The sequence below is a fragment of the Homo sapiens genome, chromosome 19 (genome assembly GCF_000001405.40).
Source record: "Homo sapiens chromosome 19, GRCh38.p14 Primary Assembly".
In the NCBI taxonomy this organism is placed as follows: Eukaryota; Metazoa; Chordata; class Mammalia; order Primates; family Hominidae; genus Homo; species Homo sapiens.
In genome coordinates this window covers 6,353,572-6,371,392 of record NC_000019.10, presented here as the reverse complement: position 1 = coordinate 6,371,392, position 17,821 = coordinate 6,353,572, and the positions used below count along the sequence as shown (strand labels likewise).

General features: G+C 52.8%; 2 protein-coding genes across 3 annotated transcripts in view, besides 2 other annotated features; one reads left to right on the top strand and one right to left on the bottom strand.

The window, feature by feature from the left end:
- Nucleotides 1,151–9,862, bottom strand: CLPP (caseinolytic mitochondrial matrix peptidase proteolytic subunit). Of its 2 annotated transcripts, NM_006012.4 has the most exons (6): nucleotides 9,621–9,862; nucleotides 9,453–9,524; nucleotides 8,851–8,947; nucleotides 6,754–6,941; nucleotides 5,030–5,135; nucleotides 1,151–2,855 (listed from the first exon to the last, which is right to left on the bottom strand). In NM_006012.4, the coding sequence occupies exons 1-6, from the start codon at nucleotides 9,816–9,818 to the stop codon at nucleotides 2,683–2,685; spliced, it is 834 nt and encodes a 277-aa protein (NP_006003.1). In that variant the 5' UTR covers nucleotides 9,819–9,862; the 3' UTR covers nucleotides 1,151–2,682. The 2 variants fall into 2 exon arrangements, with proteins under 2 accessions (NP_006003.1, XP_047295442.1); XM_047439486.1 differs by having other exon boundaries at nucleotides 9,453–9,862.
- Nucleotides 8,230–9,187: an enhancer, noted in NCBI's record as "H3K27ac-H3K4me1 hESC enhancer chr19:6362217-6363174 (GRCh37/hg19 assembly coordinates)". NCBI's record gives its function as "activates a minimal SCP1, AML or CMV promoter by ChIP-STARR-seq in naive H9 embryonic stem cells {active_cell/tissue: H9 hESC(naive)}" and the evidence as "EXISTENCE:reporter gene assay evidence [ECO:0000049][PMID:30033119]".
- Nucleotides 9,386–9,615: a silencer, noted in NCBI's record as "silent region_9948". NCBI's record gives its function as "represses an Ori minimal core promoter by ATAC-STARR-seq in GM12878 lymphoblastoid cells {active_cell/tissue: GM12878}" and the evidence as "EXISTENCE:reporter gene assay evidence [ECO:0000049][PMID:35858748]".
- The window catches only part of ACER1 (alkaline ceramidase 1), a 54,227-nt gene continuing 47,430 nt past the window's right edge, over nucleotides 11,025–17,821 (top strand). The window contains exon 1 of the mRNA XM_011527673.3: nucleotides 11,025–11,230. The gene's annotated coding sequence lies outside the window, so the exon portion shown is untranslated. The remainder of the gene's footprint in view (nucleotides 11,231–17,821) is intronic.

The window sequence follows — 17,821 nt, the reverse complement described above, 5'->3', positions numbered from 1 at the left end:
GGGATTACGGGAAGCTGCCACCACGCCCAACTAATTTTTGTTTTTTATTTTTTTGGTTTTTGGGTTTTTTTTTTTTTGACACACAGTCTCGCTCTGTCACCCAGGCTGAAGTGCAGTGGCGGGATCTTGGCTCACTGCAAGCTCTGCCTCCCGGGTTCACACCATTCTCCTGCCTCAGCCTCCCGAGTAGCTGGGACTACAGGCGCCTGCCACCACGCCCGGCTAATTTTTTGTATTTTTAGTAGAGACAGGGTTTCACCACATTGGCCAGGCTGATCTCAAACTCCTGATCTCAGGTGACCCGTCTGCCTCGGCCTCCCAAAGTGCTGGGATTATAGGCCTGAGCCACCATGCCCGGCCTTTATTTTATTATTTTCTCCCTCTATTGCCCAGGCTGGAGTGCAAGGGCACGATCATAGCTCACTGCAGCCTGGAACTCTTGGGCTCAGGTGATCCTCTCCCCTCAGCCTCTCAAAGCTCTGGGTACTTTTGTATGTATTTTAAATGTGCATAATGCAAACTGCAACACTGTAACTGCTGAGCGTAGCGCCCCCCCGACCCCGGCCCGAATGCTTGCATTTTGAAAAATATTGACCCCATTTCTCCCTCCAGCTACATCTGCCCCCCCACCCTCTGCTCCCCTTGATAGTGTAATTCCTCGAAAGACTTGTCTATGTCTGATATGTTTCCTCCTATCCTTTCTGGATCCACTCCAGCCTGGCTTTTGGCTCCCACAGCACCAGAAAAGGCCTGATTTAAGGCCACCAGTGACATCCACAATGCCGAATCCAATAGCCAGGTCTCAGTCTGACTGTTAATGAGCCTACATGCTGATGCCGCCTACATTTTGTTTTTTTTGAGACAGAGTCTCGCTTTGTCGCCCAGGCTGGAGTGCAGTGGCGCGATCTCCGCTCACTGCAAGCTCCGCTCACTGCAAGCTCCGCTTCCCAGGTTCACGCCATTCTGCCGCCTCAGCCTCCCGAGTAGCTGGGACTACAGGCGCCTGCCACCACGCCCAGCTAATTTTTTGTATTTTTAGTAGACACGGGGTTTCACTGTTAGCCAGGATGGTCTTGATCTCCTGACCTCGTGATCCGCCCGCCTCGGTCTCCCAGAGTGCTGGGATTACAGGCGTGAGCCACCGCGCCCGGCCGATGACACCTACGTTTTTATTTCAACCTCTTGACCCTGATGTCGAGGGACATATCAAAACATCAGGTATAATATATCCAAAATCAACTCCTGATCCCTCCCCAAGCCTGTTCCTTTGCCTACACTTCCCATCTCAGGCGACAGGTCTCCATCTTCCTGCTTTGGGCCATCAGCTCGGAGTTTCTGGAAACTGCTCTCTGTCACATCCCACCTAGCTAGAATCTGACTTTTTCTCATCACTCGGCCAGGGCTGCCATCAGCTTTCGTCTAGATTACTCCAACTATCCTAACTGCTCTCCAGTTTCTGCTCATGGTGCACTCCTCAGGAGTCATAGTCATCCTTATTTTCCTTCCTCTTCTCAAAACCCTCCATGGTTCACATCCCTCCTTTTAGATGTCAGGCCTTTTATGATCTATTCTCAATCACCTCCACTTTTTTTTTTTTGGAGACAGAATCTCGCTTTGTTGCCCAGGCTGGAGTGCAGTGGCGTGATCTTGGCTCACTGCAACCTCTGCCTCCCGGGTTCAAGTGCACCATCACGCCTGGCTAATTTTCACCTCTACTTTTTGATCTCCTCTCTTCCACCTTCCCTCAGCCACGGGCCTCCTCATAGGTCCTCACATGCCAGGTACAGTCCTGTCACAGGGCCTTTGCACTGGCTGTGCCCTCTGCCTGGACACAGGCTCCACCCCTCACCTCCTTTGAGGCTTTGCTCAACCACCACCTTCTCAGTGAGGGCTTCCCTGATTACCCCATAAAAAACTGTAACACGCTTACCCTCACACTTGCATGCCACCTTTCCTGTTTTTGTTTTTTTTTTTTTTTGAGACAGAGCCTTGCTCTGTTGCCCAGGCTAAAGGGCAGTGGCGTGATCCTGCTCACTGCAACCTCCACCTCCTAAGTTCAAGCAATTCTTCTGCCTCAGCCTCCGGAGTAGCTGGGATTACAGGTGCACCACGCTCGGCTAATTTTTGTATTTTTAGTAGAAATGGGGTTTCACCATGTTAGCCAGGATGTTCTCGATCTCCTGACCTCATGATCCGCCTGCCTCGGGCTCCCAAAGTGCTGGGATTACAGGCGTGAGCCAGCGCGCCTGGCCTGTTTTGTTTTTTTTAGTAACTGTCTACTGCCACAAGAATGGAGCTCTTTTGAGGAGGGTTTCTTGTGTCTTCTTCACAAAAGAACACTGCCTGGAATATAGGATATGATCAGGAGAATCTGTTGAAGGAAGACATGGCTTGCCTCTTGGGGTCAGGACAAAAGCAGAAGGGGCCTGTGAAACACAGATGTGTACACGCTGTCATGGTGCAGAAGGGAGGGTGTCCCAGACGCAGAGCAAAGACCACAAAGATTTAATTTAAAATCACAGTGTCTCAGCTGGAATGCCCCGTCCATAGCGGGCACCCCTGCAAATTAAAAGTTCCTCAAGAGGCCCCTCCAAGCCCAGCAACAAGGGGTGAGCAGGGCCCAGCTGGGGGTCTGGCAGGCCTCTGGCCCCTCCACATGATTCTGGAGAGGAGGCCCAGCTCTCAGGTGCTAGCTGGGACAGGTTCTGCTGCCGGCGCTGCTTCTACAGGCTCCTTCTGCACCAGCGTGGGCTCATCCTCACCGTCCTGGGGAGGGTGGACCAGAACCTTGTCTAAGATGCCAAACTCCTGGGCCTCCATGGGGCTCATGTAGCGGTCCCTCTCCATGGCGGACTCTGGTGGGGAAGCAGGAGGTGAGACACATTAGGGTAAGAGCAGAGACCCAGGGCCAGGTCTGGGTCCTGTTTTGGCCTGAATGTTTGTGCCCACCACCCCAAGTTCATATGTTGAAGCCCCATCCCCTAGTGGGATGGGATTTGGAGATGGGGTCCTTGGGAAGTCATTAGGAGAGATGGGGTCAGGGGCCCCTTGATGGGATTAGTGGCCTTATAAGAGGAGACACCAGTGCACTTGCTCTCTCTCCACCATGTGAAGACACAGCGAGAAGGCGGCCGTCTGCAAGCCAGGAAGAGAGCACTCACCAAGAACCGAATCAGCTGGCACCCTGACCTTGGACTTCCCAGCCCCCAGAACTGTGAGACATAAATCTCTGTTGAGGTCTGTGGTGTTTTGTTAAGCAGCTCAAGCTGACTGAGACATGTCCTCATTCTGCAGTGCCTCAGTTTCCCCTAGGTATCAGTAAAATACCAATTTCAATTTTGTTTTTTAAAAAATTGTTATTGGGCCAGGCACGGTGGCTCACACTTGTAATCCCAGCACTTTGGGAGGCAGAGGTGGGTGGACCACTTGAGGCCAGGAGTTTGGCCTCATGTTTCACCATTGGCCTTCAAAGTTTCACCATGGCCAACATGGTGAAACCCTGTCTCTACTAAAAATACAAAAATGAGCCAGGTGTGGTGGCACACGCCTGTAATCCCAGCTACTAGGGAGGCTGAGGTATGAGAATCACTTAAATCTGGGAGGTGGAGACTGCACCACTGCACTCCAGCCTGGGCAACAAAGCAAGACTCCATCTCAAAAAAAAAAAAAAATTGTTATTGATGTATAATATACACCCAGGAAAGGGCATGATTCGTAAATGTCTGGTGGGATGGATTTTCAGACTGAACATACCCTACAGGACCAGCACCCAGACCAAGAGATGGAATAATGCCAGCACCCCTGAAACCCCACTTGGGCCCACGACAGTCACTAATCCTTGCCACCCCCTCCCCATACCCCAAAGCAACCACTCCTCTAACAGCATAAATTAGCTCTCCTTGTTTTTATAGTTTAAATAAATGGAATCACAGAGTGTTTATTCTTCTTTCATGCAACATATTTGCAAAATTCATCTGTGATGCTGTGGAACATTCACTTTTTTTTTTTTTTTTTTTTTGAGACAGGGTCTCACTTTGTCACCCAGGCTGGAGTGCAGTGGTGCAATCTCGACTCACTACAACCTCCGCCTCTCAGGTTCAAGCGATTCTCATGCCTCAGCCTCCTCAGTAGCTGGGATTACAGGCGTGTGCCAACACACCTGGCTAGTTTTTGTATTTTTGGTAGAGACGGGGTTTCACCATGTTGGTCAGGCTGGTCTTGAACTCCTGACCTCGTGATCCGCCCACCTCGGCCTCCCAAAGTGCTGGTACTACAGGCGTGAGCCATGGTGCCCAGCTAAAATTTTTTTTTCTTTTCTATGAAATGGGGTTTCACTATATTGCCCAGGCTGGTCTTGAACTCCTGAACTCAAGTGATCCTCCCACTTCAGCCTCCCAAAGTGCTGGGATTACAGGTGTGAGCCACCACACCTGGCCTCACTTTTTGATTTTAATAAAATTATGGCTGGGCGTGGTGGCTCACACTTGTAATCCCAGAACTTTGGGAGGCTGAGGCAGCTGGATCACTTGAGCTCACGAGTTTGAGACCAGCCTGGGCAACATGGTGAAACCACGTCTCTACAAAAAATTAGCCAGGCATGGTGGTGCATCCCTGTAGTCCCAGCTACTGAGGAGGCTGAGGCAGGAGAATTGCTTGAGCCCAGGAGGCAGAGGTTGCAATGAGCCGAGATCATGCCACTGCATTCCAGCCTGAGCGACAGAGCCAGACCTTGTCTCAAAAAAACAAACAAACAAAAAAATTAGCTCACTGTAACCTCAAACTCTCATATTCCACAGATTCTCCTGCCTCAGCCTCCCGAGTAACTGGATTACAAGTACACCATTTTTAGTATTTTTAGTAGAGATGGGATTTCACCATGTTGGCCAGGCTGACCTCTGGGATGGTCCCCCCATCCCAGAGAACGATCCAGCCCTGAAAGTCCGCAGGGGCCAGGTGGAGAAGCCCTGGCTTAGAGCAACGCCTGGTCCGTCTGTGCACGGACCAGGATGAAATAAAGGAGGGTGCTTACCGATCACCTGCAGGCTCTGTTTGGTGTGCTTGGCGTAGATGTTATAGAGCTGCTTCTTGAGCTTCATGATCTCCTCTGCCTGGATGGCAATGTCTGTGGCTTGGCCCTGAGGGACGTCCAAGGGAGTGAGGGGGTAAAGGTTGGTATCGGCGTCAGCCCCTCACAGGGAGGCTGGAGGTGGCACTCAGGAGCTTCCCTGGGCTTTGGGCTTCCGGTTTGAGGCTGGTGGGCTGGGGTTGTGTAAATCCCCCGATATCCTGCTTCAGTCTTGCCACTACCAGGAAGGCTTTCTGACTGGATTAAGTATATGTTATTTTCTGCATCTGAAGCCTTGCAGACTGGGAGGAACAGTGTCTCTCTGTCTCAGCATTAGCTAAGCCTTTTTTTTGTTTGTTTTTTGTTTTTTTTTTTTAGAGATGGGGTCTTGCTATGTTGCCCAGACTGGTCTCAAACTCCCGGCCTCAAGTGATCCTCCTGTCTCGGCCTCCCAAAGTGCTGGGATTACAGGCATGAGCCACCATGCCTGGCCGCCTTTTTTTTTTTTTGAGACAGGGTCTTCCTCTGTTGCTGGGGCTGGAATGCAGTGGTACAAGACAGCTCATTGCAGCCTTCACCTCACAGGCTCAAGCAATCCTCCCACCTCAGCCTCCTGAGTAGCTGGGACCAGAGGCAAGCATAACCATGCCCGAGTCATTTTAAATATTTGGTAGAGATGGGGTCTCACCATTGCCCAGGCTGGTCTTAAACTCTTGGCCTCAAGTGATCCTCCTGCCTTGGCCTCCCAAAGTGCTGGGATTACAGATGTGAGCCACTGTGCCCAGCTGAAGCTAATTCTCAAGAGACAGCAAACAACTCCTCAGTGCATTTTCTTTTTTTCCCTTTGTTGTTTTGAGACAGAGTCTTGCTCTGTCATCCAGGCTTGAGTGCAGTGGCGCAATCTCAGCTCACTTCCACCTCCTGGGTTCAAGTGATTCTCCTATCTCAGCCTCCCAAAACAGCTGGGATTATGGGCACGCACCACCATGCCCAGCTAATTTTTGTATTTTTAGTAGAGACGGGGTTTCATCATGTTGGCCAGGCTGGTTTAGAATTCCTGACCTCAAATGATCCACCTGCTCCAGCTTCCCAAAGTGTCAAGATTTACAGGCGTGAGCCACCATGCCTGGCCTTTTTTTTTTTTTTCTTTAATAGAGACAAGGTCTCATTATGTTCCCCTGGCTGGCCTCGAACTCCTGAGCTCACGTGATCCTCCCGCCTCTGTCTCCCGAAGTGCTAGGATTACAGGCGTGAGCCACCACACCCAGCCTGGCCTGCACATTTTAAGACATCCACTCCCGGCTGGCCCAGCGCGGTGGCTCACGCCTGTAATTCCAGCACTTTGGGAGGCCAATGTGGGCGGATCACGAGGTCAGGAGATCGAGACCATCCTGGCTAACATGGTGAAACCCCGTCTCCACTAAAAATACAAAAAGCCGAGCGTGGTGGCGGGCGCCTGTAGTCCCAGCTACTCAGGAGGCTCAGGCAGAAGAATGGCGTGAACCCAGGAGGCGGAGCTTGCAGTGAGCCGAGATCGCACCACTGCACTCCAGCCTGGGCGACAAAGTGAGACTCCATCTCAAAAAAAAAAAAAAACATCCCCTCCCACGCTTGACTTCCGCCCAGTCAGTCCTTCTGTCTAGACCCTGTCCTGATTCCCAACAGCAGCTCGCGTGTCTGGCACTCACCCGGGCGCCTCCTGAGGGCTGGTGGATCATGATACGGGAGTTGGGGAGCGAGTGGCGCATGCCTGGGGTGCCGGCGGCGAGAAGCAGGGAGCCCATGCTGGCGGCCTGGCCCACGCACCAGGTGCAGATCGGGTTGAGGATGTACTGCATCGTGTCGTAGATGGCCAGGCCCGCGGTCACCACACCACCTGTGGGCGGGGGAGCAAGTGAGGGGCTGGACCAGCTCCCCCCGACCCTTTCCCTATTCCATCTCCTAAACCTGGGGAGGGTGGAACAGATGCAGCCCCCCTCCTTTTTTAAAAATTAATATGACTGGGCGCTGTGGCTCATGCCTGCAATCCCAGCACTTTGGGAGGCTGAGGCAGGCGGATCACAAGGTCAGGAAATCAAGACCATCCTGGCTAACACAGTGAAACCCCGTCTCTACTAAATATACAAAAAATTAGCCGGGCGTGGTGGCGGGTGCCTGTAGTCCCAGCTATTCCGGAGGCTGAGGCAGCAGAATGGCGTGAACCCGGGAGGCGGAGGTTGCAGTGAGCCGAGATAGCGCCACCGCACTCCAGCCTGGGCGACAGAACGAGACTCCATCTCAAAAAAAAAAAAAAAAAATTAAGACTGGGTTTCACTGCTTTCACTATGTTGCCCAGGCTGATCTCGAACTCCTGGGCTCAAGCAATCCTCCCAAAGTGTTGGGATTACACGTGTGAGCCACCATGCCCAGCCAGAAGCAGCTATTTTTTTTTTTTTGAGACTGAGTCTCACTGTCACGTAGGCTGGAGTGCAGTAGCGCGATCTCAGCTCACTGCAACCTCCACCTCCCGGGTTTATGCAATTCTCCTGCCTCAGCCTCCCGAGTAGCTGGATTACAAGTACACCACCATGCCCGGCTAATTTTTGTATTTTTAGTAGAGATGGGATTTCACCACGTTGGCCAGGCTGCTCTCAAACTCCTGACCTCAAGTGATCAGCCCACTTCAGCCTCCCAAAGTGCTGGAATGACAAGCGTAAGCCACTGCGTCCGGTCTAGAAGCAGCTCTTTAAAGCAGGGTTCACAAACACAAATGCTTCCAGGGGTTGGGAGGTGACAAAAACAAGTGACACGGCCCAGGTGCAGGCAAAAGGCAGAGCGCTTGCTTTACAGTCAGCTGACTCTTGCCAGATGTGCCAGTGGACCATGGGATCAGATCTACTAAATTTCCAAGAGAAACTAGAAATCAGGCCAGGCGTGGTGGCTCATGCCTGTAATCCCAGCACTTTGGGAGGCTGAGGCGGGTGGATCACTTGAGGTCAGGAGTTCAAGACCAGCCTAACATGGTGAAACATCATCTCTACGAAATACAAAAAATTAGACAGGCATGGTGGCACATGCCTGTAATCCCCAGCTACTTGAGAGGCTGAAGCTGGAGAATCGCTTGAACCCAAGGAGGCAGAGGTTGCAGTGAGCTGAGATTGCAACACTGCACTCCAGCCTGGGTGACAGAACGAGACTCCATCTCAATAAAAAAAAAAAAAAATGCCTCCATCATAAGTGCTCAATCAAAATTGACTACTTTTTTTGGGGAGGGGGAAAAAATCTACCAATTATGATTATTTTTGAGATGGGCTCACTACAGCCTCGACCTCCTGGGCTCAAGTGATCCTTCTCCCTCAGCCTTCCGAGTTGCTGGGACTACAGGCACACGCCACATTGCCCGGCTAATCTTTGTACTTTTTTTGTAGAGATGGGGTCTCACTACGTTACCCAGGCTGGTCTTGAACTCCTGAGCTCGAGCAATCCGCCCGCCTCAGCCTCCCAAAGTGTTGGGATTACCGGTGTGAGCCACTGTGCCCGGCCTAAAATCTACCAATTTTTAAATGTCAGCCGGGTCAGGTTGGCAGAACAGTATGTGCAGGATCAAAGAGGCCACATCCTGACTTGTGAACCGAGGCTCAAAAGCCAGCAACAGGCACCTTTTGGTGGTTTAAAGCCACTTCTGGAACTCTGACGCTCTGCACCCTTTCCCAGAGAGAGAACATCCCTGACCCGGGATTCTGGTCCCCTGAGTCACCCGTGTGCCCTGACGAGTGCCCCTGGCACCCAGGAAAGACCCTGCTCACCAGGGCTGTTGATGTACATGTGGATGGGCTTCTTGTTGCTCTCGGATTGCAGGAAGAGGAGCTGTGCGATAACAAGGCTGGCAACGCTGTCATCGATCTGCAGGTGGAGAGGGCAGGGGTGTCCCCAGATTCGGGGTGGGGAGAGAGTTTTAAGGGAGGCTGGGGATGGGTCAGGGAACCAGGAAGGGGGACCAGAGCCCAAAGTAAAAGGGATGGGGAAGAATTTAGGCCCCAGAAGGGGATGGGGAGAGAGTAGTGGAGAGGACCCAGGGGGTTTGGAGCACAGGAAGGGGGGAGTCAGGGGGCTAGGGACACAGGAAAGGAAGGGGTGAGAATGGCTGGGGAGAGTCTTGAGCGTAGGAATGAGGGGAGCGGTGCCAGGTGTCAGGAAGGAAGTCGGAGATTAAGAGCCGAGGAGCAGAGAAGGGGTGAGGAGCGGGTTGGGGGACCGGGAGCCAGGAGGGGAGTCAGAAGGGGAGGGAAGGGGGTTAGAAGGGGAGCGGAGCCTGAGGGAAAGTCTGGGGCCAGGGAAGGAGGGGCGCAGGGAGTGTCGGCAGGCGCTTGGGAGAGTCCTGGGGAGGGTCCCGGCGCGGGGCGCTCACCGGGCCCATGACGCACACGATGCGCTCCCGCAGCAGCCGCGAGTAGATGTCATAGGCGCGCTCGCCGCGACCCTGGGGGTAGAAAGATGGAGGTGAGGGGCCGGGGCAGCCAGCCGATCCCCACCCAGCCCGGAGCCCCCGAACCGTGTCCCCGCCCGGCCGCCGTACCGTCTGCTCCACCACGATGGGAATGAGCGGGAGAGCCCGGGTCGCCGTCGCGTGCAGGCACCGCTGCAGGGCCAGGCCGTTCTGGAGTGTCCGCTGCGGCGGCCGCTGCGCTGGAAAGTGAGCGGCGAGGCGAGGCCCCAGCGCGGGGTACCTGCATGACGCCACCCGGGCCCCCCCTACCAATATTCCGGGCCACATCCCTCCGCACGCCCCGGTCGGCTTCCGTCCGATGGCGGAACTACAGCTTCCGGCGTGCTTTGCGCCTGGGAGCTCGCTCGCTAGGCCGCTCACTTCCAGGAGTCTGGGCGGGCGCCATTAAGGGTGAGGCGGGGATAGGGACGGAGCCTGAAAGGGAGGAGCCAATGAAGTAAATTGAGTGGGCAGGGCTGGAGAAGTTTTAGAGTCTCCAGTTCGAGTCCCCTTACCGACCAATTCGTCTTCTTTTTTTTTTTTTTTTGAGACGGAGTCTTGCTCTGTCACCCAGGCTGGAGTGCGGTGGCACGATGTTGGGTCACTGCAACCTCTGCCTTCTGGGTTCAAGCCATTCTCCTGGCTCAGCTGCCCCAGTAGCTGGGATTACAGATGCACACCACTGCACCCGGTTAATTTTGTTATTTTTAGTAGAGATGGGTTTCACCTTGGCCAGGCTGGTCTTGAACTCCTGACCTCGTGATCTTCCCACCTCGGCCTCCCAAAGTACTGGGATTACAGGCGTGAGCCACCGCGCCCGGCCTCGTCTTCGTTTTCTACTGTTTCTGCTTTATTTATTTTTATTTTTTTGAGACAGAATCTCACTCTGTGGCCCAGGCTGGAGTGCAGTGGCGCCATCCTAGCTCAATGTGGCCTCAAATTTCTGGGCCCAAGCAACCCTCCCTCCCACCTTGCTCTCCAGAGTAGCTGGGACTACAGTTGTGTGCTACCACATCTGGCAAATATATATATATATGTATTAGAGATGGGGTCTTACTATGTCGCCCAGGCTGGTCTCAAACTCCTGGCCTCAAGTGATCCTCCCACCTTTGCCTCCCAAAGTGCTGGGACTACAGGCATGAGCCACCACACCCCACTTATTCCTTATTTTAAAAATAGCTGCAGGGCCGGGCACAGTGGCTCACGCCTGTAATCTTAGCACTTTGGGAGGCTGAGGTGGGCGGATCACGAGGTCAGGAGATCGAAACCATCCTGGCTAACACGGTGAAACCGCGTCTCTACTAAAAATACAAAAAATTAGCCGGGCGAGGTGACGGGCACCTGTAGTCCCAGCTACTCAGGAGACTGAGGCAGGAAAATGGTGTGAACCTGGGAGGTGGAGCTTGCAGTGAGCTGAGATGGCGCCTCTGCACTCCAGCCTGGGCGACAGAGCCAGACACCGTCTCAAAAAAAAAAAAAAAAGCTGCAGTGTTCCCACAGCTCATCTTGGAAGAGGGGTCCCAGAGAGGACTTAGCCTGGGTCTTGGCCTTGAAGAGCTTCCAGCCTGGTGTGGCCGACTTCTACTGAGACCTCCTCATTCATTTTTTGGCCACCTGTGGAGTAGATTGTGGGAGCCCAGAGAAGGGTGTTGTGGATTCTTCCTGGAGATCAGACCGGAAAGCATTCCTAGGAGAAGCAGGTATTGGAATTGGGCTTTGCAGGATAAGTAGGAGTTTGTTAGCTGGGGAAAGGCATTTCCAGCAGAGGAAAAAGAATGGGCAAAATGGTGGAAGTAGGAAGATTGCTGGTAATGTTGGGACTTCTCTTTTTTGCCACACCTTCTCAAGCCAGATTCTTTTTCATCATTCAGTTCAATGTCACTATCTAAGAGGTGCCCACTGCTTCATCCCCAAAGTCTAGAATAGTGCCTGACACACAGTAGGTGCTCATTAAATACACATTGAACCAAGAGATGAAGAGGTGATAAAGGAGGTAGGTAGAGGGCTTTGGAGGCATCTGCAGAGTGGGGATAATGATAACCTACCTCCTAGGTTTGTGCAGAAAGTCCTCAGAAAGGGTCCAAAAATGTGTAAAAAGTGCTCAGTTTGAATGATTTATTGCTGTGTTAGATCAGGGACCATGGAAGTCTGAGAAGTCTTCAGGTCCTCCCACATGGGAGTCTACTTGAAGTGTTTTTTTCTTTTTTTTCCCGGGGCAGTCCTTCGAATCACAGCAGATTCAGGCGAGGTGTTGTGGTGGCTCATGCCTGCAATCCCAGCACTTTGGGAGCCCAAGACATGTGGATCACCTAAGGACAGGGGTTTGAGACCAGCCTGACCAACACAGTGAAACTCCGTCTCTATTAAAAATACAAAATTATCTCGGCATGGTGGTGAATGCCTGTAATCCCAGCTACTTGGGAGGCTGAGTCAGGAGAATCACTTGAACCCAGGAGGCAGAGGTTGCAGAGAGCCGAGATCACACCACTGTACTCCAGCCTGGGCAACAAGAGCAAAACTCTATCTCAAAAAAAAAAAAAAAATCACAGCAGATTCAGAGAGACTCCTGAAGTGGATTTTGATGTATAAGAAGTTTACCAAGCAGTAAGCGGTAGACTCTTTTTTTGTTTTGAGTCAGTGTCTCGCTCTGTCACCCAGGCTGGAGCACAGTGGTGTGATCAGAGCTCACTGCAGCCTTGAACCTCTGGGCTCAAGCTATCCTCTCACCTCAGCCTCCCAAGTAGCTAGGACTAGAGGTGCATGTCACCACATCTGGCTAATTTTAAAATTTTTTGTAGAGACAGGGTCTCCCTATGTTGCCCAGGCTGGTCTTGAACTCCTGGACTTAAGTGATCCTCCTGCCTCAGCCTTCCAAACTGCTGAGACATGAACCATCATGCCCAGCTGGACTCTTTTTTTTTTTTTTTTTGAGACAGAGTTTTGCTCTTGTTGCCCAGGCTGGAGTGCAATGGCACAATCTCGGCTCACCACAACCTCCGCCTCCCAGGTTCAAGCAATTCTTCTGCCTTAGCCTCCCGAGTAGCTGGGATTACAGGCGCCCACCACCACGCCCAGCTAATTTTGTATTTTAAGTAGAGACGGGGTTTCTCCATGTTGGTCAGGCTAGTCTCGAACTCGCGACCTCAGGTGATCCACCCGCCTCAGCCTCCCAAAGTGCTGGGATTACAGGCGTGAGCCACTGCGCCCGGCCACTGGACTCTTTTTTTTTTTTTTTTGAGATGGAGTCTCGCTCTGTCGCCCAGGCTGGAGTGCAGTGGTGCGGTCTCGGCTCACTGCAAGCTCCGCCTCCCAGGTTCACGCCATTCTCCTGCCTCGGCCTCCCAAGTAGCTGGGACACTGGACTCTTAAACTTGATGCTGGGTACCCTAGATAAGAATAATTTTGTGCCCTCTGTAACCTCGAGGGGACTGCAGTCCGATGGGGAGATAGAAGGGGACACAGACACTCCCAGTTTTGTAGAATCAGGAGTAAGACAGAGGGAGGGAGTTGAAGGTGACAGAGTTAGGAGAATACCTTGCAGGTCCGCAAAGCAGAAAGCCCACATGGCAGCCAGCGCTGGCAGGCAGGGCCTCACGGTGGAAAGCCGGCATTTGGGCTCAGAGGGTGTTGGCCAGAGGTCTGGAATCTTACTTTTATTTCCAGCTGGGATTGAGGAGGTAGGAGGGCAGCTGCTGTCCCAGTTTCTGCTGTGAGTCAGGTGGGTGGCCCTGCCCGGCCGGTTGCCCCAGGGCTGCAGCTCCTGCCCCCGCCCTGGGGAGAAGGGCCAGGACAACAGCTGCCACCATCCCTGCAGCCACTCCTCCACTCCTCCACTCCTTCACTCCTCCGGACGCTGCCCTGCACCCCCTGCCTGCCCTGCCTCTGACGTGGGATGGCGGGGTCCTCTTAGATGTGTTCCCTGTCTCCCTTTGTTTAATCAGCTTCACTTCTCCCCATTGCAACTGCTTTTCACCTTCTTCATTGTTAATAGCTCCCTAACAGGTGCTCCAGTATCACCCACGTCACTGTGACCTACTGTCTCTTCTTCACTATTCTTCACTCTAAGAGATCCCCAAAAAAGCTAATTTTTTTTTTTTTTTGAGACGGGGTCTCACTCTGTCATCCAGGCTGGAGTGCAGTGAAGCGATCTCGGCTCACTGAAGCCTCTGCCTCTCCGGTTCAAGCGATTCTCGGGCCTCGACCTCCTGAGTAGCTGGCACCCACCATCACGCCCAGATAAGTTTTGTATTTTTAGTAGAGATGGGGTTTCACCATGTTGGCCAGGCTGGTCTCGAACTCCTGACCTCAAATGATCCATGTGCGTCAGCCTCCCAAAGTCCTCAGATTACAGGTGTGAACCACCGCGCTTGGCTGAGAAACCTAAATTGAACTGCGGTTCCCCGTCCCCCCTGCTGACCCCCCTTATCTCCTTCCCTACCCTGGTCTGCTTTTCACACCCCAAACACATCAAGCTCAATCCAGCCACAAAGCCTCTGCTTTACTCTGCTTGGAGTCAAGCCAGGCAGAGTGGCTCACGGCCGTAATCCCAGTACTTTGGGAGGCGGAGGCGGGCGGCTCACCTGAGGTCAGGAGTTCAAGACCAGCCTGACCAACGTGGTGAAACCCCGTCTCAACTAAAAATACAAAAATTAGCCAGGCATGGTGGCCTGCGCCTGTAGTCCCAGCTACTTGGGAGAGACTGAGGCAGGAGAATCGCTTGAACCCGGGAGGCAGAAGTTGCAGTGAGCCAAGATTACACCATTGCACTCCAGCCTGGGCGACAGAGCGAGACTCCATCTCAAAAAAAAAAAAAAAAAAAAGTCTCAGCTCAGATGTCATCCCTGAGAGAAGCCTTCCCTGAACACCTTTGCTAATATCCCAGGCACTCTAGAACATTTGCCTTGTTTAATTTTCATCTTGGTGTGACTTTCATCATAAACAATTGCATTAATTCATTTGTTTCTTTTTCTATTGTCTGCAGAACATTCTGCTATCTTGTTTGGCTCTGGTGCATAGCTCACTGCAGCCTCATACTTCTGGACTCAGGTGAATCCTCCCAACCTCAGTCTACCAAGTAGCTGGGACCACAGGCACACGCCAACAGGACCTGCTAATGTTTTTAAAGTTTTTTTTTTTTTTTACATGCAGTATGATTTATTTTATATAATGTTCAAAAGCTTGCAAAAACAGCATATTGTTTACAGATGCATATTTTGGAGGTAAAATTATGAAGAAAAGCGAGATCATTATAAACAAAATTTAGGAGGGGGCTGGGATGGAGAAGGGCATGCAAAAGGGCTTTAACGGTGTTGGTTGTAATCTGTATCTTAAACTGGGTATGGGTAGTAGGGTGTCCAGTCTATTTATTTATTTATTTATTTTATTTATTTTTTTATTGATCATTCTTGGGTGTTTCTCGCAGAGGGGGATTTGGCAGGGTCATAGGACAATAGTGGAGGGAGGGTCAGCAGATAAACAAGTGAACAAGGGTCTCTGGTTTTCCTAGGCAGAGGACCCTGCGGCCTTCCGCAGTGTTTGTGTCCCTGGGTACTTGAGATTAGGGAGTGGTGATGACTCTTAACCAGCATGCTGCCTTCAAGCATCTGTTTAACAAAGCACATCTTGCACCGCCCTTAATCCATTTAACCCTGAGTGGACACAGCACATGTTTCAGAGAGCACAGGGTTGGGGGTAAGGTCACCGATCAACAGGATCCCAAGGCAGAAGAATTTTTCTTAGTACAGAACAAAATGAAAAGTCTCCCGTGTCTACCTCTTTCTACACAGACATGGCAACCATCCGATTTCTCAATCCTTTCCCCGCCTTTCCCCCCTTTCTATTCCACCAAACCGCCATTGTCATCATGGCCCGTTCTCAATGAGCTATTGGGTACACCTCCCAGACGGGGTGGTGGCTGGGCAGAGGGGCTCCTCACTTCCCAGTAGGGGTGGCCGGGCAGAGGCGCCCCTCACCTCCCGGACCGAGGCGGCTGGCCGGGCGGGGGGCTGACCCCCCCACCTCCCTCCCGGATGGAGCGGCTGGCCGGGCGGGGGGCTGAACCCCCCACCTCCCTCCCGGACGGGGCGGCTGGCCGGGTGGGGGGCTGACCCCCCCACCTCCCTCCTGGACGGGGCGGCTGGCCGGGCAGAGGGGCTCCTCACTTCCCAGTAGGGGTGGCCGGGCAGAGGCGCCCCTCACCTCCCGGACGGGGCGGCTGGCCGGGCGGGGGGCTGACCCCCCCCACCTCCCTCCCGGACGGGGCGGCTGGCCTGGCGGGGCTGACCCCCACCTCCCTCCCGGGTGGGGTGGCTGTCGGGCAGAGACGCTCCTCATTTCCCAGACGGGGTGGCTGCTGGGCAGAGGGGCTCCTCACTTCTCATATGGGGCGGTTGCCAGGCGGAGGGTCTCCTCACTTCTCAGACGGGGCGGCTGGGCAGAGACGCTCCTCACCTCCCAGATGGGGTCGCGGCCGGGAAGAGGCGCTCCTCACTTCCTAGATGGGGTGGTGGCCAGGCAGAGACGCTCCTCACTTTCCAGACTGGGTAGCCAGGCAGAGGGGCTCCTCACGTCCCAGACGATGGGCGGCCAGGCAGAGACGCTCCTCACTTCCCAGACAGGGTGGCGGCCGGGCAGAGGCTGCAATCTCGGCACTTTGGGAGGCCAAGGCAGGCGGCTGGGAGGTGGAGGTTGTAGCAAGCCGAGATCACGCCACTGCACTCCAGCCTGGGCACCATTGAGCACTGAGTGAACCAGACTCCGTCTGCAATCCCGGCACCTCTGGAGGCCGAGGCTGGCGGATCACTCGCACTTAGGAGCTGGAGACCAGCCCGGCCAACACAGCGAAACCCCGTCTCCACCAAAAAAATACGAAAACCAGTCAGGCGTGGTGGCGCGCGCCTGCAATCACAGGCACTCGGCAGGCTGAGGCAGGAGAATCAGGCAGGGAGGCTGCAGTGAGCCGAGATGGCAGCAGTACAGTCCAGCTTCGGCTCGGCATCAGTGGGAGACCGTGGAAAGAGAGGGAGAGGGAGACCGTGGGGAAAGGGAGAGGGGGGAGAGGGAGAGGGAGAGGGAGTGACACTTCTCCTGTTTTTAAAGTTTTTGTTGTAGAGACAAGGTATCGATATGTTGCTGAGGCTGGTCTCAAATTCCTGAGCTTGAGCAATCCTCCTGCCTTGGCCTCCCAAAGTGCTGGGATTACAGGCGTGAGCCACTGCACTCAGCCCATTAAACCTTTTTGATTAGGGCTCACAAGGAGAAACATATCTTACATAGTGTCTGAGTACACAAAAATACAAAAGTCTTATAAAATGAAACTTATTATTTGAGCAATGTCCTTTGATATTTTCTATTCTATTTGATCCTGTTCTATTGCATTTCACTTAAAGTAGGGTTTTTCAACTTTGGCACGATTGAAAATCTGAGTTGGAGAATTCTTTGAAAGTACAAAAGGCCACCCAGGCCACTGTAGGGTGCTGAGCAGCATCTCTGGCCTCCACCCACTCGATAACAGGAGCACCCCCACCCCTACCCCCATCAATTAAAAAAAATGCCCCCCTAACAGTAAAAAGTATCTCAGACATTGCCAAGTATCCTCCAGGGGGCAGAGTCGCTCCCAGCTGAGAATCACTATTTATTTATTTATTTACTTATTTATTTTATTTTATTTTATTTTATTTTTGAGATGGTCTCTTGCTCTGTTGTCCAGGCTGGGGTGCAGTGGTGTGATCTTGGCTCACTGCAGCCTCCACCTCCTGGGTTCAAGTGATTCTCCTGCCTCAAACTCCTGAGTAGCTGGGACTACAGGCATGAACCACCATGCCTGGCTAATTTTTGTATTTTTAGTAGAGATGGGGTTCCACCGTGTTGGCCAGGCTGGTCTCAAACTCCTGACCTCAGGTGATTTGCCCACCTCGGCCTCCCAAAGTGCTGAGATTACAGGTGTGAGCCATCACAGCTGGCCTGAGAACCACTGTTTTATTTTATTTTATTTATTTTATTTTATTTTATTATTTTATTGTATTTATTTTATTTTATGAGATGGGGTTTCGCTCTTGTTGCCTAGGCCGGAGTGCAATGGTGTGATCTGAGCTCACTGCCACCTCTCCCTTGCAGGTTCAAGCAATTCTCCTGCCTCAGCCTCCCAAGTAGCTGGGATTACATGCACGTGCCACCACGCCAGGCTAATTTTGTATTTTTAGTAGAGATGGGGTTTCAGCATGTTGGTCAAGCTGGTCTTGAACTCCTGACCTCAGGTGATCCACCTGCCTCTGCCTCCCAAAGTGCTGGGA

Excerpts from the sequence above, each read along its gene's own strand:
- CLPP (XM_047439486.1), bottom strand. The coding sequence starts at position 9,818 with ATGTGGCCCGGAATATTGGTAGGGGGGGCCCGGGTGGCGTCATGCAGG. Across the intron at positions 5,136-6,753 it reads AGCCCTCAGGAGGCGCCCGG|GGCCAAGCCACAGACATTGC; the intron begins GTGAGTGCCAGA and ends GACGTCCCTCAG. Across the intron at positions 2,856-5,029 it reads ACAGAGCCTGCAGGTGATCG|AGTCCGCCATGGAGAGGGAC; the intron begins GTAAGCACCCTC and ends CTTCCCCACCAG.